A 25,296-nucleotide genomic window follows, 5' to 3' on the forward strand; every position below is an offset into this window, starting at 1 on the left:
AGGCCGGATGAGCCAAAACACAGCGGCCGGCCAATGCTGGGGAGCCCCACGGCGCCGAGCTCCGCCAATGGGCGCGGCCGGGCGAAAAGAGAAACAGTGAGGGCCCCACAGGCCGCAGGATTCGAATCGAACGTCCTTACGGGAGCCGGGCGCTGGCGGAGCGGCGCCCCGGCCAATCAGCGGCAGTCCCCGAACGTTGGGCCGGCCCAGCCCCGCCCCGCGCTGTTGTTTGTGGTGTCGGCCGGGCCGCGGGAGTCGAACCACAACATTCGCCGGGCGGGCGGCGGCGGAGCGGGCGGCGGAGCGGCGGCAGCAGCGGTGAGCGCGAGCCCCGGAGCCCCGGGCGGCCGGCCTCCCGCGCCCGCGCAGCCCCGCGTCTGCGTCCGGCCGGAGACGCCGGGCCCCGCGCCGCGCCGCGCCATGTCGGTGAACATGGACGAGCTGCGGCACCAGGTCATGATCAACCAGTTCGTGCTGGCCGCGGGCTGCGCGGCCGACCAGGCGAAGCAGTTGCTGCAGGCGGCCCACTGGCAGTTCGAGGTGCGAGCCTGGCCGCCGCGGGGCCGGGCCGCGGGGGTCGGGGACGCCGGGCGGCGGCGGGGGCGGGGAGCGCTCCTGTTGTCGGCCCGGAAGGCGATCGGCGCCCGCGAGCGGGTCTTACGCGGGACCGGGGCCGGGACCGGCTCCCCTCTGCACGTGGGGCAGCCGAGGGTCGGGGGCCGCGGGCCGGGCGCGGAGGCGGGGAGAGCCGGTGGGGGGCCCAGCCGCTGCGTTTCCTGACTCCGCCTGGCCCGCCGTGTCACTGCCCTGTTTGTCCGCAGACCGCGCTGAGCACGTTCTTCCAAGAAACCAACATTCCCAACAGCCACCACCACCACCAGATGGTAAGCGGCGGCGGGCAGGGGCGCGGGCCGGGGCCGCTGTCAGCGCGGCGGTGACAGCCATGTTGCCGGGGAGCGCCGCGCCGCGAATGTAAACAAAGAGCCAAAATGTCTTCCAGGAAAGAGCGGCTCCCGGGCCGGCGCTGGCGCCTCCAACTTTGAGGCCCGCCTCCCGGGCTGCTGCTGCTTGGCCTCGGGACTGGTGCCCGGCACTGGTCCCTGGGGGGAAGCGGCGCCAAAGTTGGGGGGAGGGGGAGAGGGCCGGGGGCCTGGCGAGGGGCTCAGGAGCTGGGGGACCCCAGAGCCAGGGGATGGGGAGGGGGAGAGGGTGATGCCCGGACGTCTGGGGCACTGGGAAGCCCGCGCGAAGGGCCCAGGGAGGGCGATGGGGGTGCTTGTGTTTATGGGGACCCCCTCGTGCTGTTGAGTGGTTTCCCCCCTCCCCCTCCACACACACACACACCCAGCGCTACAGGGAACAGGAAAGGCATGAATCCACCCTGGCTCAGGAAGCCGGGCTCTACCCACAAAGATCTGTTCAACCTTCCGAAGCCCAAGGGGACTGGGAAGTTGGAAGGACATACATCCCCCAAGCCAGGAGGACACACAGATTTTGACCCAAGATAAGGCCAGGAATGTGTCTTTAATCTCTGTGTTGAGCTCCACCAGCCCAGCACACAGAGAAGTGGTCCGGGGTCTGGATTTGCTTTCTTTTTCATTCTAGCCCAGGCCCAAGCTTTTGCCCTCCTGGCCATGGGGTACTCTGCTTTCTTGAGGCCCAGGACATCTCTCCTGTACCCTACCCCCCTAGTTACCTATTAGCCCTGCTGGGGGAGGAGGGGCAGGGCTCAGCGATAGGGATCTTAAAACATTGTTCCCCAGGAGAGCTGTTGTGGACTCTAGGTGCATTTTTGGGATTTTTAACACTTGGTGCCCTTGCCTTTGGCTCTCTGTTTTCATCTAGTCACAGAGGACAAGTAGAGGGGTCTGTCTTGACCTTGTTAGCTAGTTTTTCTCAGAATGGCTGATGCTGTATATAAATCAAGCCAAAATGGCATTTGAGTATGATGGGAGCATGGTGCTGGCCACAGGGCTCTTAGAAACCCAAGAGGGTTTCATCTCCAGGGGACACCGTCCCCTGCACTTGACCAGGAGAAATGGCCAGCACCCGCCTATGCTTGAGTCTCGAAGCTTCCTGCCATCTCCTGTCACCGGATCCTTGAGATTTCCTTCCACCAGCTGTGGCCATCCCAAAAAACTCAGAACTTCCAGATACTACAGCCATTCTGAGGGGCTGAGAACAGGGAGGCTCCCCAGGAAGAGCTGGTCTGGCATCCTGTTTAGTTCCTATTGCCCCTCCTCTGCAAATCCCAAGGAGATGCTAAGTCTCTTTTGAAGCTTCCCTCAAGGAAGGCAGCAGGTTTTGTAACACACATAACCAGTGTGTCCATCAGTGCCCAAGTCTGAGTGCCTTAGCAGCACAGTGGAGGACACCATCCCTGCTCTCAAAAAGTTCATGGTTTCTTTTTTTTTTTTTTTTTTTTTCTAATTTTATTTTTGAGAAAGGCCAGGGCAGGGGGAGTCTCTATGTGGCCCAAGCTGGTCTTGAACTCCTGGCCTCAAGCTATCCTTCCGCCTCAGCCTCCCGAAGTGCTGGGATTATAGGTGTGAGCCACTGCACCCAGCTGGCAATTTCTTTTCTTTTTTTTTTTTTTTGAGACAGAGTTTCACTCTTATTGCCTAGGCGGAGTGCAATGGTGTGATCTCGGCTCACCGCAACCTTCACCTCCTGGGTTCAAACGATTCTCCTGCCTCATGGGATTACAGGCACGTGCCACCTGTAATCCCACACCTGGCTAATTTTGTATTTTTAGTAGAGACGGGGTTTCTCCATGTTGATCAGGCTGGTCTCGAACTCCCAACCTCAGGTGGTCCGCCTGCCTCGGCCTCCCAAAGTTCAGGGATTACAGGCGTGAGCCACTGCACCCGGCCTGGCAATTTATTTTGGACAAAGTAAGTCAAAGGAAAAAGATCAAAAAACGAAACACTAGAGACCAGTAACAGCAAAATGGCAAAACCAGAAGTCATGAGTAACTGATAAATGGTTGTCCCGTACATTACTGTAGATTCCCATAGTTGGAAGCTTCCCAGTTGATAAGGAGGGCTTCCCAGTTGGAAGTGGAGAAAGGCACTACAGACTTGAAGTGGGAGGACAAAGGTACAGGGGACAATGGGTTTTCTTGAGAACTGGCCGAGAGGGCATATCTGGTTCAAAACCCTCATTTTACAAAAGCAGAGAGAAGCTCCAGAGAGGTTCAGGAACTTGCCCAAGCTTACACAGGCAGGCCACCACAGGCCTGCCAGCCATCATCCCTGCTGTTCTCTGGCGGCTGTTTGAGGAGACAGGCCTCGCTGGCTGGCGGGGAACTGGGGAAGTCGGTCACGATGCTGTGATGCAATTGGCCTCCACCCCCACCCTTCATTCATTGTTTCCTGCTGCCGAGAAGTCATCCCCAGAGGGTGGGGGGGGGGCAGGGAGTAGTGGAGGGAGGAGGGGAAAGGTCTGGGTGGGGCCAGGCCTCTGCATTGGGTCCTTTGGCCTCCCCCTGAGGACCCCTAGAAAGGCAAGGGTCAGAGCTCCCTTGGTGCCCTGGGTGCTGACATGGTGTGGGGCTCAATGGACAGGGTGTGCTAGTGTCCCCATTCCATGTATGTTACACACCCCCTACACAACCTCCGGTTTCTAGCTGTGAAAGCTCCCTCTGTTTTTTTTTTTTTTTTTTTTGAGACGGAGTTTTGCTCTGCCACCTAGGCTGGAGTGCAGTGACGTGATCTCAGCTCACTACAACCTCCACCTCCCGGGTTCAAGTGATTCTCCGGCCTCAACCTCCCAAGTAGCTGGGATTATAGACGCCCATCACCACACCCAGCTAATTTTTGTATTTTTTAATAGAGACAGGGTTTCACCATGTTGGTCAGGCTGGTCTCGAACTCCTAACCTCAGGTGATCCACCCGCCTCGGCCTCCCAAAGTGCTGGGATTACAGACGTGAGCCACTGCGCCCTGCCAAAGCTCCCTCTTTCAAGGTGAAGAGCCCTCAAGTCGTTCCCCCAACTCCTGCGCCTGGGGGAGGGGCCAGTGTTGCTAAAATTAGGAGAAATTCAAAGAAGGACTCCTGTGGCTTCCTGGGAAAGGGAGAAAGCAGCTTTGAGGTCCCAGCCAGTTTTGTGTGGTCTTGTTCTCTGTGTTGCCTCTTGCCCATGCTGCTGACGAGGTGCTCCTGGATGGCACTCCAGCCCCTGCCCCCAGGGTAGTGACAGAAGACAGCAGATGGGGGACTGTAGCTACCCCCAGGAAGAGGACTGAGGGGCTGGACAGACTGAGAAACTGCCAGCCTGCAGGCAAGGGCAGGCCAGCTGTGTTTGTGGCCTGAGGCTACAGACACAGGACATTGAAATCCCTGGTTTGTGTCCTCAAGGGGCCCAGATATAAAGGGGCTCTTGACTCTGTGCAGCGTGGCCCAGTAGATGTTAAGAGCTTGGGCCTGCAGACTTGGGAGCTGGGGAGGTCCGTCTTCTCAACTTGCCCTCTGCTGTGGGTGCATTTTCGGGCAAGTGACTTGACTTCTGGGCCTCAGTTTCCTCATTTGTCATAAAGAGAGGATAATTGAAGCCACTAAGTGTCATTGTTAAGGGAGGCAAAGCCTTCAAGGCCTGGTGGCTGTCACCCTTAGTGTGGTGTGAACCCATCCACCAAGGTGGCTTAACTTTTCCAGGGTTGGCACAGGAGGGAGAGCCTCCCCGCTGGCCGCTCTCCCTTGCCTAGCAGCCTGGGAGCATCTGAGGGTGGCTGGTGGGGCAGTCAGCTGGTCTCCCTGCCCAGGGAAGGTGCGGAACAGTGGTGTCCTGGGCTGCCCCCTTGCCCTTTCACTTTAATCTGACACCTTAGCTCCTGGGTGCAATTAACCATTTACTTTGAATGCTCCTCGGGGTGTCATTTCCAGGCCTCATGAAACCCCGTTGGTTTTGATAAGGTTCTTGGGTTTTGTCCTTGTTTTCTGTTTGTATTGCCTCGGGGAGAGGGCACTTTTGTCCTGTGGAAGCTGCTTGTGCGAAAATGAATGAAGCTGAAAAATGGGAGTAAAGGAGCGGCTGGCCTGGGTAAGCCCCATCCAGTGGCTCGGGGACCCCCGAGGCAGCCTCCCCACACCCGTGTTCTCTCCCGCAGATGTGCACTCCCAGCAACACCCCTGCCACGCCGCCCAACTTCCCCGATGCGCTGGCCATGTTCTCCAAGCTCCGCGCCTCCGAGGGCCTGCAGAGCAGCAACAGCCCCATGACAGCCGCAGCCTGCTCCCCACCTGCAAACTTCAGCCCCTTCTGGGCCTCGTCCCCGCCCAGCCACCAGGCGCCCTGGATCCCGCCCTCCTCCCCCACCACCTTCCACCACCTCCACCGCCCACAGCCCACGTGGCCCCCAGGAGCACAGCAGGGGGGCGCCCAGCAGAAAGCCATGGCGGCCATGGACGGCCAGAGATGAGACTGGACGCCGCCGGGCGCTGGGCTGGAGCTGGGGGCAGCCCAGGGTTGTGGGGACACAGGAGGGCCAGGGAGGGGGGAGCCGGGGAGGGCAGGGGGTTTCCCGAAGATCGCACTGGAAGATTTTATAAAAGAATTTTTGTGGGTCGGGGGGACAGTAAACTTCCTGGGCCACGTGGGTCCTTCAGGAGTTTTTCAGGCAAGTTTTTCCTCTGTTTTTAATATATAACTATAATATATATGAATAGATAAATATAACTAATGTGCGTGAGAATGGGCCTGGCACACCTGGGGTGCTCGGGGGTAGGGCTGCCATGCTGCAGAGCTGATGGAGTGATGTTGTGGGCACAAGGCATCTGTCAGCTGCCTCCTTTAACAGCCATGCCTTCTGGAATCTGGAAGAGGACACCACTCCTGCAGTCACTGGGCAGCCACATAGCAGCTGCAGGTCCCAGGAGGGCCTGAGGTCAAAGCTGTGGAAGGCCCTCTTGGTATCAGGGCTCTCTCCCCATGGCCTCTTCCCCACCTCTGATTGCTGGTTGTGGCCCCATAGCTCATCACCCCTGTCTCCTGCTGAATGTGCAGGGCTGATGTGGCACTGAGGAGCTGACTTTGGTCAAAGGCCAGGCTCTGCCCAGCAGGGGACTTGACTGCCCTGGGCGCCCTGCCCCTCCCGCTGCGTGTCCAGGTCCAAAGTGGAGAGCCTGCCTTTGGGTTTAGTTCCCGAATCAGAATCCCATCTCACCAGGGCGAAATTTTAATTTAAAAACTTAAAAAGAGACTTTTCTAACTTCCCTGGTTTGCGGTGCTTTTATTTCCGTTGGTGGGAAAAGCGGTCTCCTCAGAAGAGGGGTGGTGGGGGTCCCTTGCCACTGGGCTGGTCTGGATGTTTTTGCTGTGGGATGGTCACACCAGGGGCTCTGACAGCAAGGTCCAGGTTGGTGTGGGGAGGAGAGAGGGGCCGGGGTCCGTCCTGAGTTTCTGTGACCTTCCCTTCTTGGCCCCATCGGTGTAGCCCCCACCCACAGAGCCCTAGTGAGAAGAGCTGGAAGCCATTTTCATCTACAGTGGGGAGAGCTTCCTTCTAGCTGGGGGCCTCCTGATGGCCCCCCCAGGCCCTCCCAGGAAGCATCTTCCAGCTGGGCTCATCTCCGATACTCCTCTCCTCAGCTTCCCGGGGGCAGTATGTCCCTTTGGGTCATGGCCTGTGGAGTGGCCATGACCCAAAGTTCAATTAAGGCTGGCGGGTCCCCAGAGGGGCCTGCTTCCATTCCCCCTTCCCCGCAGCCCTGCAGGCGTCAGCATGGGGCGAGGTTACCAGTTCCTGACCCAGCAGCTCGTCCTCAGGTGGTCCTGCTGCTCGGGAGGTCAGCTGCGTGGGGAGCCTGTCCACCTGGCTGATGGGGGTGATGGCCGCGTGGCTGGGATTCCTCCTCCAGCCCTGCCCTTCACCGCCATACAGTCTGGGCAGCCCCTTCCTGTCCCGTCCTCCTGCCTCGCCCTCTGCTGGGGTCTACGGGGCCCAAGTCTTGCTGGAACACAGGCAGGACAAGGGTTCTGGAGGTTCAGGCCGGAAGTGAAATAAAAGTCGAGAGGGGCCGGGCCCGGCACCCACCGCATCCTGCCTCCGGGCCTCCTCGGGCCCCTCACACGGTGGGGCAGCCCCTCCTCCAGTGGAGCGGAACGGTGGGCCCCGCTGCCCCTCCACCCCTGCGTGTGACACGGACGTGCTTGGAAGCTGGGTTCGTCCTTTCAGTTTTGTTTCCTGGTTGGAAACCCCTGAGACTCCTCCCCCTCCCCCCGCCCCTGCCCACCTGTGCTTTCCCAGGCTGGAAGGGGCAGCCCCTCTCAGCACGTGGGTGGTTAGGCTGTGACGTCCCCAGGCCTCCTGGGCCTGCACCGGGGTCCACCCAGGTGTGGGCCATGCCCAGGTGCGGGAATGGTCGGGGGTTGCCCTGGCCGGCTTAGGGAATGTCGCTCTGGGACCTTCTGTGGGCGTGGGGAAGGCCTGGGTGAGGAGGGCTGGGCTGCACCTCCCTGCCAAGCTGGTGAATTTGGCTTCTAGACCCGGGAAACTGAGCCACCTTCTGACATTTCACAGCCAGGGTGGGGCCGAGAGCAACAGGAGCCCAGCTGGAGCCTGGGAGGGGTGGCCCTGCCTCTGCCTCCTGCCCGGGGAGAAAGGGGCTGGGGCCCAGGGGTGCCCGCCCGGGGCTCCGCTGTCTGAGCAGCTCCTCTCTTCTGTCCAGCTCTGAGCATGACATCATCACATGAAGACTCCCAGGGTCTCTGAAGAGCAGGCCAGGAGGGAGCGGCCACCCGACCCAGCCAAGCCTGCCCCGCTTTGCCCACGCGGGGGTCAGGGGCCAGAAACCTGTTTCTGGGCTGTTTCTCGCCACATTTTCCTTTCCTGTGTGATTTTGTCTCCTCACACCCCAAAGCGGGCCTCTTACTCTAGACATCCCTTTCCCATGCTGGGGAGATGGGAACTGGGGGTGGGGGGAGCCCCTTTGTCAACTCTGAGCACTTCCTTTTCTCTGAGGAGGGAGCCTCTGAGGCAGAAAGGCTTTGGTGACCTCAGGGCTTTATAAACCTCAGGGTGGGGGGGCCACTCTCATCTACTGGGGGACCCCTAGAATCTGGCTGGAGCCCAAGCTCAGGAGGTCAGGGGACTCCTTGGTCTCAGGAGCTTCAAGTGGGTTGCAGCAGTGATAGGGGCTCGTCTCTAGCAGTTGCTGCACTGGCCCAAGCTCAGTCTCACTTGCAGTCCTCTGTCCCCTCACCTGCCAAGACCTTTAGTGAGTCCCTTGCCTGCAGGTGTTGGGGCTAGGGCAGAGGGAAGCAAATCACAAGCGACAAGCGCCAGGCTCGCACCACCTCTCCACCCGCCGCCTGGATGTCTTTTTCTAGGAGGGGAATGGGGAAACTGGGTCACAGCCACAGCAGCCCCTGCTCTGTGCCTTCAGGCCCCGGCTGTCTCTGCAGCAGCCCACTCAAGGGAGAGAAGCGGAGGGCGGCAAACAGAAACCTGCCCAGCCGGCTGCAGGGGTTCGCCTCCAGCCATTGGCACTGCTTCCCCGGAATCCCACGCCAGGGGTCAGGAACCACCCTGAGCCAGCAGCAAGAGCGCAGCAGGCAGCTGCCACCCTCACCCCCAGAGTGCTGGACACTGACAGCACGGGCCCCAGCACCCCAGGCTAGAAGGCAGGTCTAGAGCCAGAAGGCAGGGCACCCCCAATCTAGCTGAGGCCAGGAGAGAGCTGGTGGGGTGAGCACCGGCCCAGCTGGTCCCGGGGCCAGGAGTCTCCCTGTCCCCAGTGCAGTGTCCAGCCCTCCGAAGCCCCGGCGCCCTTGAAGAATGGAAGCTGAGGACTCACTTTCAGGCTACAAACCAGACCCACTGTCCAAGAGAAGGTCTACCGAGTGGGCGGGCCTGGGGGTGGTCTGGAGGCACGTGGGGGGCTGCCTGGCCAACAGCGGGTATTTCCCTTTCCCTCCATCTTCCTGAGCCAGGACTGTCAGAGACGATTCGCCACACCTAAGCTTCCTCCTGAATGTTTATTTACACCTCCGCTCACTGAGCGGTGCTGGACCGCGGCCCCCGCGTGGGCTCCTCGAGCCCCTCCCCAGGAGGCATGTCCACGTGCCTCTCCAGCCCCCTGTTTGCCACCGCGGCGGAGCTGGGCGGGTGGGCTGTGTTCGGCTGGGAGAGACGGCCCTCGGAGGAAGGTCTATCTTTCTGTTGACGAGAAGAAACTGTAAGACAGGGGTGCTGAGGTTGCTCAACACATTCCCCAAGCCCACCAGGGGTCACCCCAGCCTGCCCAATGCCCAGGGAGGTTGAGAGCAGTTCTGTTCGCCATGCTGGGCTGACACAGGCTGGAGGGGAGCTGCCGGGGCCGGGGGGCACGGCGCAGGCCCATCTGAGCTCCTAAGCAGTCATGAAGCACCCTTCATGATCTTGTGAATGAAAAATAAGCAAACACGTCCTTCTGCAGGAGCCAAGAGCTGCCTCTTTGGTACTGTTTCCTGTTAATACAGACACGAGGTGACATCCACACCAACAGGCACAGGAATTTTCCTGAGACTACCAGTCCCTCTCTCCTGCTTCCAGGGCATTTTCAGTGCCCTTAGAGTAGACACTGGGAGAAGGGAGCTAAGTATTCCCAAGAAAACAGAGTTCTGGGAGCCAGGGTGACAGTCATGTGCTCACTGTCCACCACTGAGACCTGCCGTTCCCAGCACAGCCTCTGGGCCAGAGGGCTTGGCTTTGAACTCCAGCTCTGCCGCTTCCTGGCTGTGTGACCTAGAGCAAGGACCTTCACCTCTCTGTGCCTCAGTTTTCTCAGCTGTAAGTGGTGCTAACGGCCCCTACCTCTAAGTGCTGGTACATAGATTGAAAGTGGTTCGTCCATGTAAAGCTCCTAAACTACCTGGTCTGTGGGGGGCCCTGGATGATGCTGAGGAGCCATGAGCACCGCAGCCACTTTTCTGTTGTGATTTCCTCCTCCCTCAGCGCCGGGTCCTCACTGAGGGCTGGAGTGATGCTGGAGAGCATCTAGCCGAGGGGCAGGGGAGGGTGGAGGCTCTGGTTGGGGAGGGTCCCTGAACCTCCCACAGACATTCACAAGGAATGTGGGTGCATAACTGTTTTACAGGAGGAAGGTCGGCAGCTTTTATTAGATTCTTGGGGGGGGCCTGACTCCAAGCAGCACTAACCCAGCACCCCCTTGATGACAGACGAGGAAACTGAGGTCTGGAGAGGGGAGAGCCCTTGTCAAGAGTGACCTTGCCCAGGGTCACTTGTCAGTGATCCAGCCTCCTGGCTGCAGGGCCTTGTTACCAAACCCTCCTGACCTTCAGGCCCAACTTAGCTCCTGCGGAGATCAAGGACCCAAGGGATCTTCCAGGCGGGAGGCAGAGAGAGGTTCCTCCATGACAGGGTCGTGGCCTCTTGGGGACCCGGGCATGGCCTGTGCCCAGCAGCCACCATGCAGAGCCCAGGCGCACGAGCTCCATGACAGTGAGTGCACGTGAGCAGGGCAAGGGCATGGACCTGGAGCCAGAGATGTGGGTGGTGACCCTGTCCCTATTTCATCTTCTGTGGAATGGGACAGTAACAGCACCTACCCACCTCCCAGAAGGGGCACAAATCACTCAGTCACTCGGGGTTCCTCTTTTCCACACCCATCCCCCCCTTCGGCTCCCAGGCCCTCCCCTCTCCGGGGAGATAAAGGCCCTACATGAGCAGGAAAGGGGGCCGGCAGGGCCAGCGGGGAGGCCTGGCAGGACGCCCCACCCAGAGGGAAGCTACCTGAGGTGTTGCCAGCCGAAATCTGGGCGCTCTGTGGCCGAGAGGGCAGCTGGCCATTGCTGCTGAGGGATGGCGGCCTGTGCACGTGGGGCCTGGGCTGCTGGGACTTGCGCTTTGAGGTCCCTGAGCCTGATGGGGGACAGGAGGGAAGGGTCAGTGCTGAGGCAGCGGTGAGAGCTCTGTGGGAACCCCTGGGGGTGGGGAGAGGGCCGCAGGGCTGCTGGTCATGGCCGGCCTCAGCTGAGTGGGGTCCTCGTCATTCTGAATTTGTGGCTATGCCCCAGAGAAGCGGTCTTCATTCATTCTCGTGGCCACCCACCCACTCACACAGAGTCCCTGAGGACCTGCACACGTCAGCCCTGTGCCAGGTGTGGGGTGAGTTCTGACCTGGGGTTTCCAGGGCAGGAAGGGAGGCATCTAGAAAGGCGCATACACAGCTAAATGCATGATGGGAAGTGACAAAGCGCAGGCTTCGGGCATTGCCACGGGAGGCGGGCATTCGGGGGCTGAAGCGGTGGGGCTCAGCAGAGGGCACTGTGCTGAGTTTTGAAGGAGGAGGAGGCCCTGATGATGCCATGGACAGAGGCCAAGACAGGAGAGCCCAGCAGTGCAGCCGGGATGGAGGCTGGCAAGAAAACACGGGGCCACCCCATCCCAGCTGATGGCTGAGGCTGGACAGCTGTCCTCCACCTGTGAACATTTACTTGGTGGCTTTTCGAGAGACCTGCACATTTGGAGTGAGGGGAATGGAGAAGGAAGACACCCAGGGTCTAGTGGCCCATAAAAGTGCCAGGCCCCACAATGGATGCACGCCCTGTGGGACCCACGTGAGGTGCCTGGGGGCCTCTGGACTCCACTCACTGTCTTTTCGGAGGATGCCTGGCAGCCTTGTGTCCATCCGTCCCTTGTAAATGTGGCCATCCAGGCCCAAGATGTCCACCTCATCATGCTGTAGAAGTGAACAGATACCGTCGCCACTGTAGCAGCCACAGCCCTCCCCTGGCCCCTTCACACGGGACTGAGGCACAGAGCACTGTGGTCTCAGAACCCTCCTGGGGGGCTCTGGGAGGCACTAGGGTGGAGCGAGAAGGTGGAGGGAGGTGAAACAGTATCTGGGCCACGGTGGGAGGCCTGGGAGGCCGGAATGCTGCTGGGCAGGCAGGTGGCCGGGGTGAATCTTTCTTCCCAGAAAAGGGTAAGAACCTGAGGCTTTGACTGGGTCTGATTAAGGAATTGCCTCAAGGCAGAGGGCTGGCTGATTTTCTGGTGGCTTTAGAGAATGACTCAGGAATCTGGAGCCATGTCAGGGCCTCCCTCCCTGGTGGCTCCAGGCAGGGCCCTGACCTTCATGGCAATCTGGATCTCTTCAGTAGGATACAGGCCCCGGGGAAGGTGCTGCGGGCGGCTGCGGTGGTAGGGGTAGGTGAGGGTGTGGCTGCCCCCGCAGCGCCGGGGCACAGTTGAGTAGGTGTAATCAGCCATATCTGTCACCCTGTGATGAAGACAGGATGGAGTCATTGGGAGCAGACCACCAGGGATGTCACCTGGGACTCACCCACCCATGGGGCTGACCAGAGGGAAGGGGCACAGCTTCTCTTCGGGGGCTGCCGGGAGGCTGAGCAGCAGGGGCCCAGAACAGGCGGGCGGGGGTAGAGCAGCCGTGAGGCCGGGCCACCCCAGTGACTGTGCACATGGGCAGGCGTGCACACACACACCCACACACTCACACATGTACTCATACACACAGTCACACACACACATACATGCACACACACATACTTATGCACATACACACGAAGATGCACATACACACGAACATATACATACATACTCATACACATGCACACACACACACGTACTCATACACACGTACTCATACATGCACACACATACTCAAACACCCACACTCACGCACTCACTCCCACACTCATACACACACGCACTCATACACACACACCCTTACACACACTCATACATTGACACACCCATAGACACATGGCTTACACACATCACACACACTAACACCCCTCGCCCACACTTTCTCTCACACACACACACTCCCTTTTCTCCCCCAGCAGTGGGGCAAGGCATTTGCACAGCCGTGCACGAGCAGAAGCCAAGCCTGGTCACTGGGTGCCTGCTCCCATGGCCTCGCCCGCCTCTCCTGTACCGTTTGTAGCAGGGGGAGCCCAGGCACTGGGCGTGCAGCAGCTCGCGGATTATCTGGCTGCTGGCCTTGGTGGAGCCCCCGAAGTGGATCTGCACCTTCTCAATGTTCATCAGCATCTTGGAGTGCATGGAGCGCAGGCGCCCCACGCTCTGCTCCATCTGCGCCAGGTCACCCCGAGGGAAGGCGCTGCCCAGCTTGAGGCTGCAGGGTGTGAGCAGAACAGAGGGAGGGTTGGCCCATGGCGGGGGCCTTGACCTTGTGTAAGCCGAATCCTTCAGTTCCGGGTCCCTTTTGTGCAGGACCCAGCTAGGCTGGGGGTCGCTGGGCAGCTTGACCCCTCAGCAGTAGTCCTTTCCACAGCATCTGAGGGCCAGACTTGCCGGGAAGGCTTTCCTCAGATGGGGAAGTGCAGGCCAGCCAAATGGAAGAAAGCCCTGCTGCCTGTCTGCAGCTGTGGGTGGAGGAGCTGAGGGCAGCCCCGGGCCTTCCCATCTCGGCGCACCTGGCCTAGCATACCTGGAACCCACAGGGCTCCAAGAGCAGCCTGAAGTCCTCTGAACTATGGACTCCCATCCTTAGGAGAAGGGGAGCAGCAGAGAGGTGGGCAGGAGCCGGAGGGAGCATGAGATGCCCACCGCCAGCCTCCTTCGTTGGCTGAGCCCACCCTCTGGCTGAGCTATACCGGACCCTCCCCCCACCGCTCTAATCCCGGGGTTGCTGAGACAGCCGAAGGCTGAGGAAGAGGTTGAGAAGTAGAGGAGCTCTCAGAGGCAGCTGGCGCCCTTGACGAAGTCCCACCGTAACTCCCAAAAGCAGGTGTGACTAGGTCTGCCTCCTACGCTCATGCCTTGGGAACTGCCAGGGAGCTAGTTCAGAAATCGGCCTGCGGCCCCCACTGTCCCATTCCAAGGAGGAGGCTCTCCACACTGTCCCACAGCACTGCCTTCTGTCACGTTCCGCTGGGCCCTCCGGAGTCATCCCTGTCCCCTGCCTTCCCCATCCAGAGCCCTGGCCCCGGACCCATATGTCCCATATGCTGTCCCATAGCATACTTGCGGCTATGCTGCCGGACCTGCTCCAGTTCAAACACCGTGTAGGGGCGGATGGAATGGTGCCCAGGTAGGCCTGGACCCGCGGGGGTCACGGGGATGGCACTGGGCAGGGACAGAGGGAGAAGGGGCGGGTCAGAGTGGGACAAGTCCGGTCCCCCAAATCCACCTGCCTAAAGAACCTTCCCACCCGCCCCCGGCCTGGAAGGGAGCGAGGGCTGGAAGCAGACACATGAAAGAAAGGGAGAGGACAGGTGGACACAGGTGAAGGGAGGAGACGCAGCCCTGCCATGCGAGGCCACGTGCCGGCGGTGTGGGCACTCACTGTCCAGTCACAGGTGTCTCCAAGGGCCGGTCACATGAGAGGCAGTGGAAATGTGCCAGGAGCTGCCTGTTAGGAATGGGACGCACACGCAGGGTGAGTGCTCTGCCCGGAAGACCCAGAAGGGCTTGGGGCTCTGCAGGCCCCTGGAAGCTCAGCCCACCAGGGTGCAGATCATGTCCCTGCTCCCCAGGAATCCATCTGCTCCCACCTCTGGGCTCACATCCCAGACCTCCCTGTCCTAACCCAAAGCCAGCAGGCTTCCCATGGGCCCCTGAGGGTGCCCTGTGCAAGTCTCGGGCGCCCCCTGGCGGCCACGAATGGGAATCCTGGAATTCAAGCCTACCACGGGCCAGGTCCTATGGGCCAGGCCCCCAGGAGCTGTCTCAGCTCTGGGTACTGAGGACCTCTCCCTGTCCCAAAGGCCCAGCTTAGCTCAGCCAAACCCTGAGAGCCTTAAGCCTCCCCTCCTCCCTTTCTCTGCTGTAATACGAAGGGGCCTGAGCTAGAAGAGCGTTTCAAGCTCTAAAATTCTGTCCCTCCAACCATGGGACAGTCCTGGGCAGGATCCGCTGTGTGCTGGCAGGAGCTGTTTGTCTGGAGACCCCCAGCCCCCTCTGCCCTCACCCCCTGAAGAGCGTGCCAGCCTCCTCCCCTGCCTCCCAGGCCTCACCTCCGCATGGCAGCCGCCTCGTCTGCCTGGTAGAGTGGGGGGCGCTCCCTGAGCTGCTGTCGCAGCGATTTCCACCGATCCTCCAGCAACTGCTTCACTGGGTCCAGCTCCAGGCGGTCCAGCTGTGGCGGGGAAAGAGGGGCCAGGGGACCTCTAAGGAAGCAGGTAGGGGGCTGACCCAGGAGAAGGTGGTGCTGTCCCGATCCTGGGGGCAAGGCTGTGGGATGGAGAGCCCCGCCATGCCCCTGCCTCACCTTGTTGTCCATCTCTGTGAGCAGCCTGTCCAGCATCTTCTGCCAGTCCTGCTCCTGCCCGCTCATCTTGGCCACCAGCTCCTGCATCATGTGGTTCAGCTGCTCCGTGGTGGCATCAAACTGGACACGGCTCACTTTGGTGGCCAGAGCACTCTTGTCGGCTTTCTGCCCAGAGACAGACAGAGGTCCCCGCATCTGGGAGATGGCCATGGAGGGGCCCCATTCCCTGGGGGTGTCGACCCCTATCACCAGGCAGGTTTCTGAGAGCCCACACTCGTCTCGCCAGCTCCCCTCCACTCAGTCTCTCAAAGAACAGTCAGCGAGACCGCCCTGGGACACAGCGTGGCTCCTGGGGCCTGGCACCCACCACATCGATCTCCATCTCCAGGTGCTCCCTGTTGGCCTTTTCCTTTTCGAGCTTCTCCAGACCCTGGTACAGCATCTGGGGAGGCCAAGTGAACAGAGAAAAAAAGAGCCAGCAGCTGCGGGGCTAGGGCACCACATTGAGCCCCGGCCCCATCCCAGCCACCCTGCGGCCGCTCACAGCAATGTCCTTCTGTTTCTGCCGATGGTCCTCGATGAGGTTGCTGGTGGTGATGTTGAGCTTCTCGCAGTCACCCTGCACCTGCAGGATGGCACTCTGCACACGGCCCAGCAGCTCCTCGTCCTGCGGCAGGAGGGATGGGAAGGCTCTCGGAGGCTGCTGGCGCGATCCCACCCCCTGCTGCCATAATATTGCTGCCCCAGGTAAGTTGGCCCTTAAAACATCTGCAAGGCTGGGAGCGGTGGCTCATGCCTGTAGTCCTGGCACTTTGGGAAGCTGAGGTGAGGCGAGAGGATCACTTGAGCCCAGGAGTTCAAGAACAGCCTGGGCAACATAGGGAGACCCTGTCTCAAAAACAATGGAAAACAATTTTCCACTAACAGTGCGGGAGGCCCTCTGTCTGCCCTTTCTGGGTGTCCACCCCCACAGGACACAAGCGTCAGTCACCTACATCCCCATGGACTAGCCTTGTGACCCTGGCCTGCCGGTCAGGGGTCATTAGAGGTGATGGAGGCTCAGGAGTGATGTGCTGTCCCGGGGCACTTGAGAGCTGGGCTGTGGGCTTTATTCTCCCCTCCTCTCCTGGCCCAAATCTGAGTTCCTCAGCCCAAGAGGCAGGACCCAGGATTTGTGGCTGTGCCCGCCCCCACCAGCAAGCCTGCCCTTTCTAGGGAAATTGAGAAGGGGTTGGAAGACTCGCGTGCCAGGGAGTCAACATCTCCTACAGTTGGGCCTGTGTCTCCAGGGCACGCGAAGGGCACTGATCTGTCCTCAGCCGGCCTGTGCTGTCCCACCCCATCAAGCCAGCTCTTCCCCATGGTCTCCTGTCCCCAAAGCTAGTTCTGCTGCTACCCTCGCTGTGGACCTGCAGAAAGACCAGGGACTCTTGTGGGATCTGGCTAAAGGGCTCCGCCACGGAGAGCTGACCTTGAGGCCCAAACACCCGCCCCACTTCTGTGGGTCTGCAGCAGGGTGGCCCTCCTCTGTGGGGCCATGTCCAGTTGCAGCAGGAGGGAGGCGAGCAGAGCCCCACCTGTCTCTGGAGCTTGGCCTTCTTGGAGGGTCGGGAGACGGCCAGGCTGTTGACCATGTCTTGGAGTTGCTCATAGCGCCGCACCAGCGTGCTGACCTGATGGCTCACATCCAGGCTGCAGGCTGGACAGGTGGCCTCAGGGTCGATCTGGCCAGGAGCCAAGGTGTGGGCCTTGTGCGGGGCCATGCTCATGGACAGGAGCGTGGAGGAGGAGGTCAGCATGCTCTCAATGATCATCCTGAGCTTGTCCAACTGCGTGCAGGAGAGACGGCAGCAGCAGGGCAGTGAGGCCAGTCACGGCCACGCTCTGCCCATGCTGGCACTGCCCCTAGCCTGTGTGCCTCTCCCCTGTCGTGCCCTGGGCAGTTGCTGCATCCTCAGTGCCTCCCAGAGCATGTGCCATCATGGGCATCTATCCAGTAAACGGTGAGTAGAGAGAGTTCTCCGAGAACACAGTGTCAACACTGAACCAAGCCCTTGCCAGAAGAAGGCCTCTGGAGCTTTCTCCAGCCAGCCCACCAGCTCAGCATGAGAACATCTCTTCTTTAGCTAAATCGTAAAGTGCTGCTGCCAGTTAGCCGGGCCATAAACACACAGAGGACCGTAATGACACACAGGCCCCGCCCCAGGCTCTGGGGCTGTGAGGGGTGGGCTTGCACACGCTCCTGCTCACATGCCATGGGGAACGGACATGCTCCATCCACCTAGCATGTAAATAACTCACGATACAGGAACTTGGCAGGTGCTGACACTGCTCCAGGGGCCTCTCCAAGGCTGGGCGGTGCAAACCCCTTCCAGGGCAAGTGCCTTGAAGGCTGCCCTGGTGTTCTCCTCTGCATCCCGCAGGCCCCATTCGTCACCCCAAATGAGAGTTCCCAGGTAGACAGCTGATCCAAGGGCAGCCGGTCCCTCAACTGGCCAAAGACCTGAGACATGTTGCTTGGCTCAAAAAGAGAGGCTGGGCCAACCTGGGCTCCTCTCTGGGGAGTGGGTGATGGAACAGAAAGGACTCTGCAGGGCTGGGGCAGCCACTGCAGAGCGCGAGGGAGAGCAAGGTGGATTGAGAGTGGAATGGGAGAGTGACGTGGGGGCTGAGAGGATGGGTAAGGAGAGGGACACAGGTACCCACAAAAGCAGATGCAGAGGGACAGGTGGGGTGGCCCACCCTGGCCTGCCCCCATGGCCTGGAAGTTCCCTTTTCCTCCACGGCCTACAGCTGCACATCCCCAGGGCAGCATCCTCTTGCCTGGGCTCACAGAGATGCTGCCACTTACAACCAGAAGAGCCTGCCCGGAGGCAGGTACCTCCGAGGGCCCCGGATGCAGAAGGACTGGCCAGTTCTCTCTCGAAAAGAGGAAGAGGCCTCCTAGAAAAATGGGCATTTCAGTGGAGTCTTAACACTAAGCCGCAGCTATCTGTGTAAAGAACAGCAGGAAAGAATAGGAGTGTGTTCAGAGAAAGGCAGGAGGCCAAGGTGGCTAAAGATGGGGCATGTGGAAGTGGGGCCTCCAAAAAAAGCCTGCAAAAGGAGGCTAGGCCAGCCCAACAGGAAGTGGATTGTCTCCTGAGTGTGGTCCTGGGACAGCCAGACATGAGCTTGGACTGACAGGTGACTCTTAAACGCTCCCAGCTGCTCCTCAGGCAGGACTCCTGGCCCGGGGTCATGACATGGGGCACACCACAGTTCCAGCAACTTGGGAGCCTGGAATGTGGCTCAAAGCACAAAGCGGGCCAGGCACGTGGCTCACGCCTGTAATCCCAGCACTTTGGGAGGCCAAGGTGGGTGGATCACCTGAGGTCAGGAGTTTGAGACCAGCCTGGCTAACATGGTGAAACCCCATCTCTACTAAAAATACAAAAATTATCCAGGTGTGCTGGTGGGTGCCTGTAGTCTCAGCTACTTGGGAGGCTGAGGCAGGAGAATTGCTTGAACCTGGGAGACGGAGGTTGCAGTGAGCTGAAATCATGCCATTGGACTCCAGCCTGGGCAACAAGAGCGAAACTCTGTCTCAAAAAAAAAAGCGGGGTGCAGTGGCTCATGCCTATAATCCTAGCACTTTGGGAGGCCAAGGCAGGTGAATGACCTGAGGTCAGGAGTTCAAGACCGGCCTGACCAATGTGGTGAAACCCTGTATCTACTAAAAATACAAAAAAATTACCCAGGCATGGCGGTGTGCACCTGTAGTCCCAGCTACCCAGGAGTCTGAGATAGGAGAATCACTTGAACCCGGGAGGTGGAGAATGCAGTGAGCTGAGATGGTGCCACTGCACTCCAGCCTGGGCAACAGAGCAAAACTCTGTCTCCAAAAAAAAAAAAAAAAAAAAAAAAAAAATGCACAAAGAGGTTCCTGACATGAACCCGCTTGGCCCAGTGGCTTTTCCTAGGTGGTTCTTCTGTGAGCACTCAGAGGGCTGCTCCTGATTCAGACAATCCTTAGTGAGAAAATGACCAAGAATTGCATTGCAAGGCTTAAAGACAGACACTGTCAAGAAAATGAAAAGATGACCCACAGAATGGGAGAAAATATTTGCAAGTCATCTATCAAATAAGAGTGTAGCATCCAGAACATGTAAAGAGCTCTTTCAACTCAACAATAAAATGACAAATAACTCACCTGAAAAAATGGATGAAGGATTTGGATATGTATATTTTATCTCTAAAGAAAGTATACAGGCCAGGCGTGGTGGCTCACGCCTGTAATCCCAGCACTTTGGGAGACCGAGGCGGGTGGATCACGAGGTCAGGAGTTCAAGACCAGCCTGGCCAAGAAGGTGAAACCCCGTCTCTACTGAAAATACAAAAAATTAGCCGGGTGCAGTGGCAGGCGCCTGTAATCCCAGCTGCTTGGGAGGCTGAGGCAGGAGAATCACTTGAACTCAGAGGGCGGAGGTTGCAGTGAGCTGAGATTGCGCCACTGCACTCCAGCCTGACAACAGAGTGAGACTCCGTCTCAAAGAAAAAAAAAAAAGATGAAAAAGAAAGTATACAAATGGCCAAAAAGCACATGAAAAGATGCTCAGCATCTTTAGTCACTAGGGAAACGCACATCAAAACTATAATGAGATCCCACCTCACACCCACTAAAGTGGCTATAATTTTTTTTTTTTTTTGAGACAGGGTCTCGCTGTCACCCAGGCTGGCGTCCAGTGGCGCGATCATGGCTCACTGCAACCTCCGCCTCCCAGGTTCAAGTGATTCTCCTACCTCAGCCTCCTGAGAAGGTGGGATTACAGGTGTGCACCACCACACCCAGCTATTTTCTGTTGTTGTTGTTGTTGTTGTTTTTGAGATGGAGTCTCGCTTTTTCACCCAACCTGGAGTGCATGGTGCGATCTCAGCTCACTGCAACCTCTGCCTCCCAGATTCAAGTGATTCTCCTGCCCCAGCCTCCTGAGTAGCTGGGATTACAGGCACGTGCCACCTCGCCCGGCTAATTTTTGTATTTTTTTAGTAGAGACGGGGTTTCACCATGTTGGTCAGGCTGGTCTCGAACTCCTGACCTCGTGATCCACCCGTCTGGGCCTCCCAAAGTGCTGGGATTACAGGCGTGAGCCACCACACCTGGCCTATTTTCTGTATTTTTAGTAGAGATGGGGTTTCATCATGTTGGCCAGGTTGGTCTCCAACTCCTGACCTCAAGTGATCTACCTGCGTCGTCCTCCCAAAGTGCTGGGACTACAGGCGTGAGTCACCGCAGCCGGCCCCACACAAAAACTTATACATGAGGCCAGGCCAGTACTTTGGGAGACCGAGGCGGGTGGATCACCTGAGGTCAGGAGTTTGAGACCAGCCTGGCCAACATGGTGAAACCCCATTCTCTCCTAAAAATACAAAATTACCTGGGCATGGTGGCAGGCACCTGTAATCCCAGCTACTTGGGAGGCTGAGGCAAGAGAATCACTTGAACCCAGGAGTTGGAGATTGCAGTGAGCCAAGATCGTGCCATTTCCCTCCAGCCTGGATAACAAGAGCGAAACTCCATCTCCAAAAACAAAACAAAATAACAACAAAAAAACAACTTATTATGGCCAGGTGCGGTGGCTCACGCCTATAATCCCAGCACTTTGGGAGGCCAAGGCGGGCAGATCACAAGGTCAGGAGATTGAGACCATCCTGGCTAACACAGTGAAACCCCGTCTCTGCTAAAAATATTTTGAAAAATTAGCCGGGCGTGGTGGCAGGTGCCTGTAGTCCCAGCTACTCGGGAGGCTGAGGCAGGAGAATGGCAGGAACCCGGGAGGCAGAGCTTGCAGTGAGCCGAGATCGTGCCACTGCACTCCAGCCTAGGCGAGAGAGCAAGACTCCGTCTCAAAAAAAAAAAATGTATACATGAATGTGCATAGCAGCATTATTCATAATAGCCAAAGGATGGAAACAACCCAGATGTCTTTCAACTGATGACTAGATAAAGAAATTGTGGCATAGACGCAGAATGGAATGCTATGAAGCCATAAAAAAGAATGGAGTATTGACACATGCTACAACATGGATGAGCCTTGAAAACATCATGCTAAGTGAAAGAAGCCAGATACAAAAGTGTATGTTGCATGATTCCATTTATATGAAATGTCCAGAATAGACAAATCCATAGTGGCAGAAAGCAGGTTCGTGGTTGTCAGGGGCTGAGGGACAGAAGGGAACAGGGAGAGACTGCTAAGAGTCACAGGGTTCTTTCTGGGGTGATTAAATGTTTTGGAATTAGATTGTGGTGATAGTTGCACAACTTTGTACTAAAAACTACCTTATTCAATTTAAAAGGGTGAATTCATTGATATATGATTATATCATAAAAAAGATAGGGAAAGATCGTGATCAGCCTGGCCAAAATGGTGAAACCCCGTCTCTACTAAAAATACAAAAATTAGCTGGGCGTGGTGGCATATGCCTGTAGTCCTGGCTACTCAGGAGGCTGAGGCAGGAGAATTGCTTGAACCTGGGAGGCGGAGGTTGCAGTGAGCCAAGATGGCGACACTGCACTACAGCCTGGATGACGAGAGCGAAATTCCATCTCAAAAAAAAAAAAAAAAAAAGATAGGGAAAGATCGAATGGGAGGTAAACAGGTGTTGTAGGGGTTCCTTTCCCTTGCCACTTGTGGACTCAGAGCTGGCTTTGGATAAGGAATCTGGATCCTGGACACATTCGCCACCGCCCCCCCACCCCCTGCCCACACACCACATAACACACACACACACACACACACACACACACACACACACACACACATGATGGGAGGGACCTAGTTTTTGATGAGAGGTGGGAGGGCAGGGCCAAGCCAGCTCTGAGAAGGGCCCTTGGTCCCTGGAGCTAAAGAGTGGGGAATCCTCACCTGGTCCTGCAGGTAAAGGGAGGCTTCAGAGACAGAATTTTCCATGGCAGCCTTGCCCCTGTCTTGGCTCTCCCTCAACTCGGCCAGCTCCTTTTCTATGTCAGCCACGGTGACTCTGTGGTGCACGATGAGAGACTGCCAGACTCCACACTCAGGCCAGACCCATGCAGAGCCTGGGCCATCAGGGACGCAGGGGGATGCAGACACAGCTGGAGGTCTCTCACCCTCCACCCCCCTCCAATGGATTTTGTCTAGGGAGTCCCGGGCTATGCCTCTGTCCTGGGAGGCTTCTGGGCGGTAGGACTGGGCACTGCAAAGAGAGAGCTCAGAGGGGCCGTCAGAAGTTGTCTCCTTCAGCCTCCGACTGGGGACACAGTCTAAGAAGCTTATTTTTGCATTTCCAAGACCTGGTCCTGAGTTGCTTTGGGAACCTGGGGAACTTCTACCAGTTCCTTGAACTAGACATGGACAATGTGAAGAGCAGACACAATCCAGGTCAAAGACAGTGGTCCATTCAGGGGCATAAGGGAGCCACTGGCCGCCATCACCTCCTTGGCTGAGAATTCGTGATGCCAGGGGACCAGCTGCTCTTAGCTGGGGCATTTTACCTGAGGACACCCAGCTGCAATCTCAGCTCTCCAGCTTTCAGTTCCTTCCCTGCTTCTTGATTCCCTTCCCCTTCCAGGATCCTCTGCAGCCTTTCCACCTACAAACCCAGTGAATGAGGAGGGTCAGGCAGGCCTGAGCTCCCGCTTCCCAAGTGTGCCCTTGCATGCAGCTCATGCCAGCCCTCCCCGTTCCCTCTACTAACCCAACCCCCTCCGACAAAAGCCAGGAGCCCTTGTGGACATCCATCCGCCCATTCATCCATCCCATGGATGTAGAAAGCTGGCATTAAGAGAATGACTGGGCCAGGCACGATGGCTCACGCCTGTAATCCCAGCACTTTTGAGAGGCCGAGGCGGGTGGATCACCTGAGGTCAGGAGTTCAAGACCAGCCTTGCCAACAAGGGGAAACCCATCTCTACTAAAAAATACAAAAATCAGCTGGGCGTGGTGGCTGGCGCCTGTAATCCCAGCTACTCAGGAGGCTGAGACACGAGAATCATTTGAACCTAGGAGGCAGAGGTTGCAGTGAGGCGAGATTGTGCCACTGCACTCCAGCCTGGGCAACAGAGCAAGAATCAGTCTTAAAAAAAAAAAAAAAAAAAAAAAAAAAAAGGAATGACTGGGCCGGGCGTGGTGGATCACACCTGTAATCCCAGCACTTTGGGAGGCTGAGGTGGGAGGATCACCTGAGGTCAGGAGTTCCAGACAAGCCTGACCAACATGGTGAAACCCTGTCTCTACTAAAAATACTAAAATTAGCTGGGCATGAACATGCATGCCTGTAATCCCAGCTACTTGGGAGGCTGAGGCATGAGAATAGCTTGAACCCAGGGGGCAGAGGTTGCAGTGAGCCGAGATCGCATCATTGCACTCTAGCCTGGGCAACAGAGCGAGACTCCGTCTCAATTTAAAAAAAAAAAGGAGAATGTCTGAAGGGATCTGGCCGTCCCTTGCAATGACCTCTGGCCCCAGAAAATCCACAAACTGGACTCCAAGGCTGCCACAGATAATGAAAAGAGCAAGGCCGGGTGTGGTGGCTCACGCCTGTAATCCCAGCACTTTGGGAGGCCGAGGCAGGCAGATCACAAGGTCAGGAAATCGAGACCATCCTGGCTAACACGGTGAAACCCCATCTCTACTAAAAATACAAAAAATTAGCCGGGCGTGGTGGCGAGCACCTGTAGTCCCAGCTACTTGGGAGGCTGAGGCAGGAAAATGGCGTGAACCTGGGAGGTGGAGCTTGCAGTGAGCCGAGATTGCGCCACTGTACTCCAGCCTTGGCGACAGAGTGAGACTGTGTCTCAAAAAAAAAAAAAAAGAAAAAAAGAAAAGAGCAAAGCCCTCATTATTTGGCTCAGCTGAATCATAATAGCTTTGAGCATCAGTTTTTAAAAAAAATTTTTTTAGAGACAGGGTCTTGCCCTGTCACTCAGGCTAGAGTGCCATGGCGTGATCATAGCTTACTGCAGCCTCAAACTCAGGCTCAAGTGATCCTCCTGCCTCAGCCTCCCAAGTAGCTGAGACTACAGGCATGCACCACCATGTCTGGCTAATTTTTAAATTTTTTGTAGAGATAAGTCCTTGCTATGTTGCCCAGGCTGGTCTCGAGCTCCCGGGCTCAAGTGATCCTCCTGCCTTGGCCTCCCAAAGTGCTGGGATTATAGGCATGAGCCAGCGTGCCCAGCCTGAGCATCAGGTTTTAGATCCAGGAAATGAACACGATGATACCCAAGGTGCAGTTCCTATCTGATAAGATTGCAAAGATCCAATTAGATAATAATGTAAAAGAAAGAGCTATTTAATCCGTAAAATACAAATGGAAAGTGCTATTATTAGCATTAAAAGACAAAGTGGGGGCTGGGCACGGTGGCTCACGCCTGTAATCCCAGCACTTTGGGAGGTCAAGGTAGGCAGATCATCTGAGGTTGGGAGTTCAAGACCAGGCTGACCAACATGGAGAAACCCCATCTCTACTAATAATAATACAAATAATAATACAAAATTAGCCGGGCATGGTGGCACATGCCTGTAATCCCAGCTACTCGGGAGGCTGAGGCATGAGAATCGCTTGAACCTGGGAGGTGGAGGTTGAGTGAGCTGAGATGGTGCCACTGCACTCCAGCCAGGGCGACAAGAGCAAAACTCCATCTCAAAAAAAAAAAAAAGACAAAGTGGGTTGACTCTTCCTTACTTTTGCTTTCTCCTGCCAAACTTCTTTGGCTAGCGTCTTTACGGTCTTCAGCTGCTCCTGCAGTTCAGGAGGTATGGTCCTTTTGACTATGGAAAGCAGAAGCCTTATGATCAGAGGGGTTAGATCTCTAGTGGGCTCCCAATCTCCATTTCCAGCCCCTGTAACACTGAAGCTACCCTAGAGGACAGCAGGACCTATTACTTTATCCTGTGTCTCCTGGTGACTGGGAAAGGGAGGTGGGAAGAAGGGAGAGAGAGCTGTCCTTAGCCCATGAAACATCCACCTAATGCCTGACATCCTAAAGGGCTTTGGGACAACTGACTCCCGAATTCCAACCACTGCAAAAAATCTTAATTACTCTCTGGGCTTGGAGTTGGGAACAGGCAAATG

At 57.3% G+C, this 25,296-nt stretch overlaps 2 protein-coding genes across 12 annotated transcripts in view, besides 14 other annotated features; one reads left to right on the top strand and one right to left on the bottom strand.

Annotated features, from left to right (window-relative positions):
* Positions 66-365: a silencer, noted in NCBI's record as "silent region_9008". NCBI's record gives its function as "represses an Ori minimal core promoter by ATAC-STARR-seq in GM12878 lymphoblastoid cells {active_cell/tissue: GM12878}" and the evidence as "EXISTENCE:reporter gene assay evidence [ECO:0000049][PMID:35858748]".
* UBALD2 (UBA like domain containing 2) lies at positions 263-6,213 on the top strand. Its single transcript, NM_182565.4, has 3 exons — positions 263-540; positions 822-884; positions 5,109-6,213. The coding sequence occupies exons 1-3, from the start codon at positions 421-423 to the stop codon at positions 5,418-5,420; spliced, it is 495 nt and encodes a 164-aa protein (NP_872371.1). The 5' UTR covers positions 263-420; the 3' UTR covers positions 5,421-6,213.
* Positions 666-805: a silencer, noted in NCBI's record as "silent region_9009". NCBI's record gives its function as "represses an Ori minimal core promoter by ATAC-STARR-seq in GM12878 lymphoblastoid cells {active_cell/tissue: GM12878}" and the evidence as "EXISTENCE:reporter gene assay evidence [ECO:0000049][PMID:35858748]".
* Positions 976-1,075: an enhancer, noted in NCBI's record as "active region_12797". NCBI's record gives its function as "activates an Ori minimal core promoter by ATAC-STARR-seq in GM12878 lymphoblastoid cells {active_cell/tissue: GM12878}" and the evidence as "EXISTENCE:reporter gene assay evidence [ECO:0000049][PMID:35858748]".
* Positions 3,046-3,275: an enhancer, noted in NCBI's record as "active region_12798". NCBI's record gives its function as "activates an Ori minimal core promoter by ATAC-STARR-seq in GM12878 lymphoblastoid cells {active_cell/tissue: GM12878}" and the evidence as "EXISTENCE:reporter gene assay evidence [ECO:0000049][PMID:35858748]".
* Positions 4,976-5,165: an enhancer, noted in NCBI's record as "active region_12799". NCBI's record gives its function as "activates an Ori minimal core promoter by ATAC-STARR-seq in GM12878 lymphoblastoid cells {active_cell/tissue: GM12878}" and the evidence as "EXISTENCE:reporter gene assay evidence [ECO:0000049][PMID:35858748]".
* Positions 6,046-6,265: an enhancer, noted in NCBI's record as "active region_12800". NCBI's record gives its function as "activates an Ori minimal core promoter by ATAC-STARR-seq in GM12878 lymphoblastoid cells {active_cell/tissue: GM12878}" and the evidence as "EXISTENCE:reporter gene assay evidence [ECO:0000049][PMID:35858748]".
* Positions 6,853-7,377: an enhancer, noted in NCBI's record as "H3K4me1 hESC enhancer chr17:74268019-74268543 (GRCh37/hg19 assembly coordinates)". NCBI's record gives its function as "activates a minimal SCP1, AML or CMV promoter by ChIP-STARR-seq in naive H9 embryonic stem cells {active_cell/tissue: H9 hESC(naive)}" and the evidence as "EXISTENCE:reporter gene assay evidence [ECO:0000049][PMID:30033119]".
* Positions 6,956-7,055: a silencer, noted in NCBI's record as "silent region_9010". NCBI's record gives its function as "represses an Ori minimal core promoter by ATAC-STARR-seq in GM12878 lymphoblastoid cells {active_cell/tissue: GM12878}" and the evidence as "EXISTENCE:reporter gene assay evidence [ECO:0000049][PMID:35858748]".
* Positions 7,206-7,255: an enhancer, noted in NCBI's record as "active region_12801". NCBI's record gives its function as "activates an Ori minimal core promoter by ATAC-STARR-seq in GM12878 lymphoblastoid cells {active_cell/tissue: GM12878}" and the evidence as "EXISTENCE:reporter gene assay evidence [ECO:0000049][PMID:35858748]".
* Positions 7,378-7,901: an enhancer, noted in NCBI's record as "H3K4me1 hESC enhancer chr17:74268544-74269067 (GRCh37/hg19 assembly coordinates)". NCBI's record gives its function as "activates a minimal SCP1, AML or CMV promoter by ChIP-STARR-seq in naive H9 embryonic stem cells {active_cell/tissue: H9 hESC(naive)}" and the evidence as "EXISTENCE:reporter gene assay evidence [ECO:0000049][PMID:30033119]".
* Positions 7,496-7,635: a silencer, noted in NCBI's record as "silent region_9011". NCBI's record gives its function as "represses an Ori minimal core promoter by ATAC-STARR-seq in GM12878 lymphoblastoid cells {active_cell/tissue: GM12878}" and the evidence as "EXISTENCE:reporter gene assay evidence [ECO:0000049][PMID:35858748]".
* Positions 8,176-8,225: an enhancer, noted in NCBI's record as "active region_12802". NCBI's record gives its function as "activates an Ori minimal core promoter by ATAC-STARR-seq in GM12878 lymphoblastoid cells {active_cell/tissue: GM12878}" and the evidence as "EXISTENCE:reporter gene assay evidence [ECO:0000049][PMID:35858748]".
* Positions 8,736-8,875: an enhancer, noted in NCBI's record as "active region_12803". NCBI's record gives its function as "activates an Ori minimal core promoter by ATAC-STARR-seq in GM12878 lymphoblastoid cells {active_cell/tissue: GM12878}" and the evidence as "EXISTENCE:reporter gene assay evidence [ECO:0000049][PMID:35858748]".
* Positions 8,964-25,296, bottom strand: part of QRICH2 (glutamine rich 2) — a 36,916-nt gene continuing 20,583 nt past the window's right edge. For 4 of the 11 annotated variants that reach the window (XM_047436911.1, XM_017025207.3, NM_001388453.1 and 1 more), the window contains 15 exons: positions 24,907-24,992; positions 22,715-22,812; positions 22,107-22,221; positions 16,779-17,030; positions 15,746-15,868; positions 15,569-15,643; positions 15,202-15,366; positions 14,948-15,069; positions 14,278-14,343; positions 13,956-14,057; positions 12,904-13,104; positions 12,078-12,225; positions 11,595-11,682; positions 10,734-10,862; positions 8,964-9,175 (listed from right to left, as the gene is read on the bottom strand). In XM_047436911.1, coding sequence (XP_047292867.1) covers positions 8,994-9,175; positions 10,734-10,862; positions 11,595-11,682; positions 12,078-12,225; positions 12,904-13,104; positions 13,956-14,057; positions 14,278-14,343; positions 14,948-15,069; positions 15,202-15,366; positions 15,569-15,643; positions 15,746-15,868; positions 16,779-17,030; positions 22,107-22,221; positions 22,715-22,812; positions 24,907-24,992 — 1,952 coding nt within the window. In that variant the 3' untranslated portion in view covers positions 8,964-8,993. Of the gene's footprint in view, positions 10,863-11,594; positions 11,683-12,077; positions 12,226-12,903; positions 13,105-13,955; positions 14,058-14,277; positions 14,344-14,947; positions 15,070-15,201; positions 15,367-15,568; positions 15,644-15,745; positions 15,869-16,778; positions 17,031-22,106; positions 22,222-22,714; positions 22,813-24,906; positions 24,993-25,296 lie in introns of those variants that run through there. The other 7 variants (NR_130649.2, NM_032134.3, XM_047436910.1 and 4 more) reach the window with 6 other exon arrangements.
* Positions 12,023-12,867: an enhancer, noted in NCBI's record as "H3K4me1 hESC enhancer chr17:74273189-74274033 (GRCh37/hg19 assembly coordinates)". NCBI's record gives its function as "activates a minimal SCP1, AML or CMV promoter by ChIP-STARR-seq in naive H9 embryonic stem cells {active_cell/tissue: H9 hESC(naive)}" and the evidence as "EXISTENCE:reporter gene assay evidence [ECO:0000049][PMID:30033119]".

The sequence above is a fragment of the Homo sapiens genome, chromosome 17 (assembly GCF_000001405.40).
Source record: "Homo sapiens chromosome 17, GRCh38.p14 Primary Assembly".
NCBI lineage: Eukaryota > Metazoa > Chordata > Mammalia > Primates > Hominidae > Homo > Homo sapiens.

Excerpts from the sequence above, each read along its gene's own strand:
- UBALD2 (NM_182565.4), top strand. The coding sequence starts at position 421 with ATGTCGGTGAACATGGACGAGCTGCGGCACCAGGTCATGATCAACCAG. Across the intron at positions 541-821 it reads CGGCCCACTGGCAGTTCGAG|ACCGCGCTGAGCACGTTCTT; the intron begins GTGCGAGCCTGG and ends GTTTGTCCGCAG. Across the intron at positions 885-5,108 it reads GCCACCACCACCACCAGATG|ATGTGCACTCCCAGCAACAC; the intron begins GTAAGCGGCGGC and ends TCTCTCCCGCAG.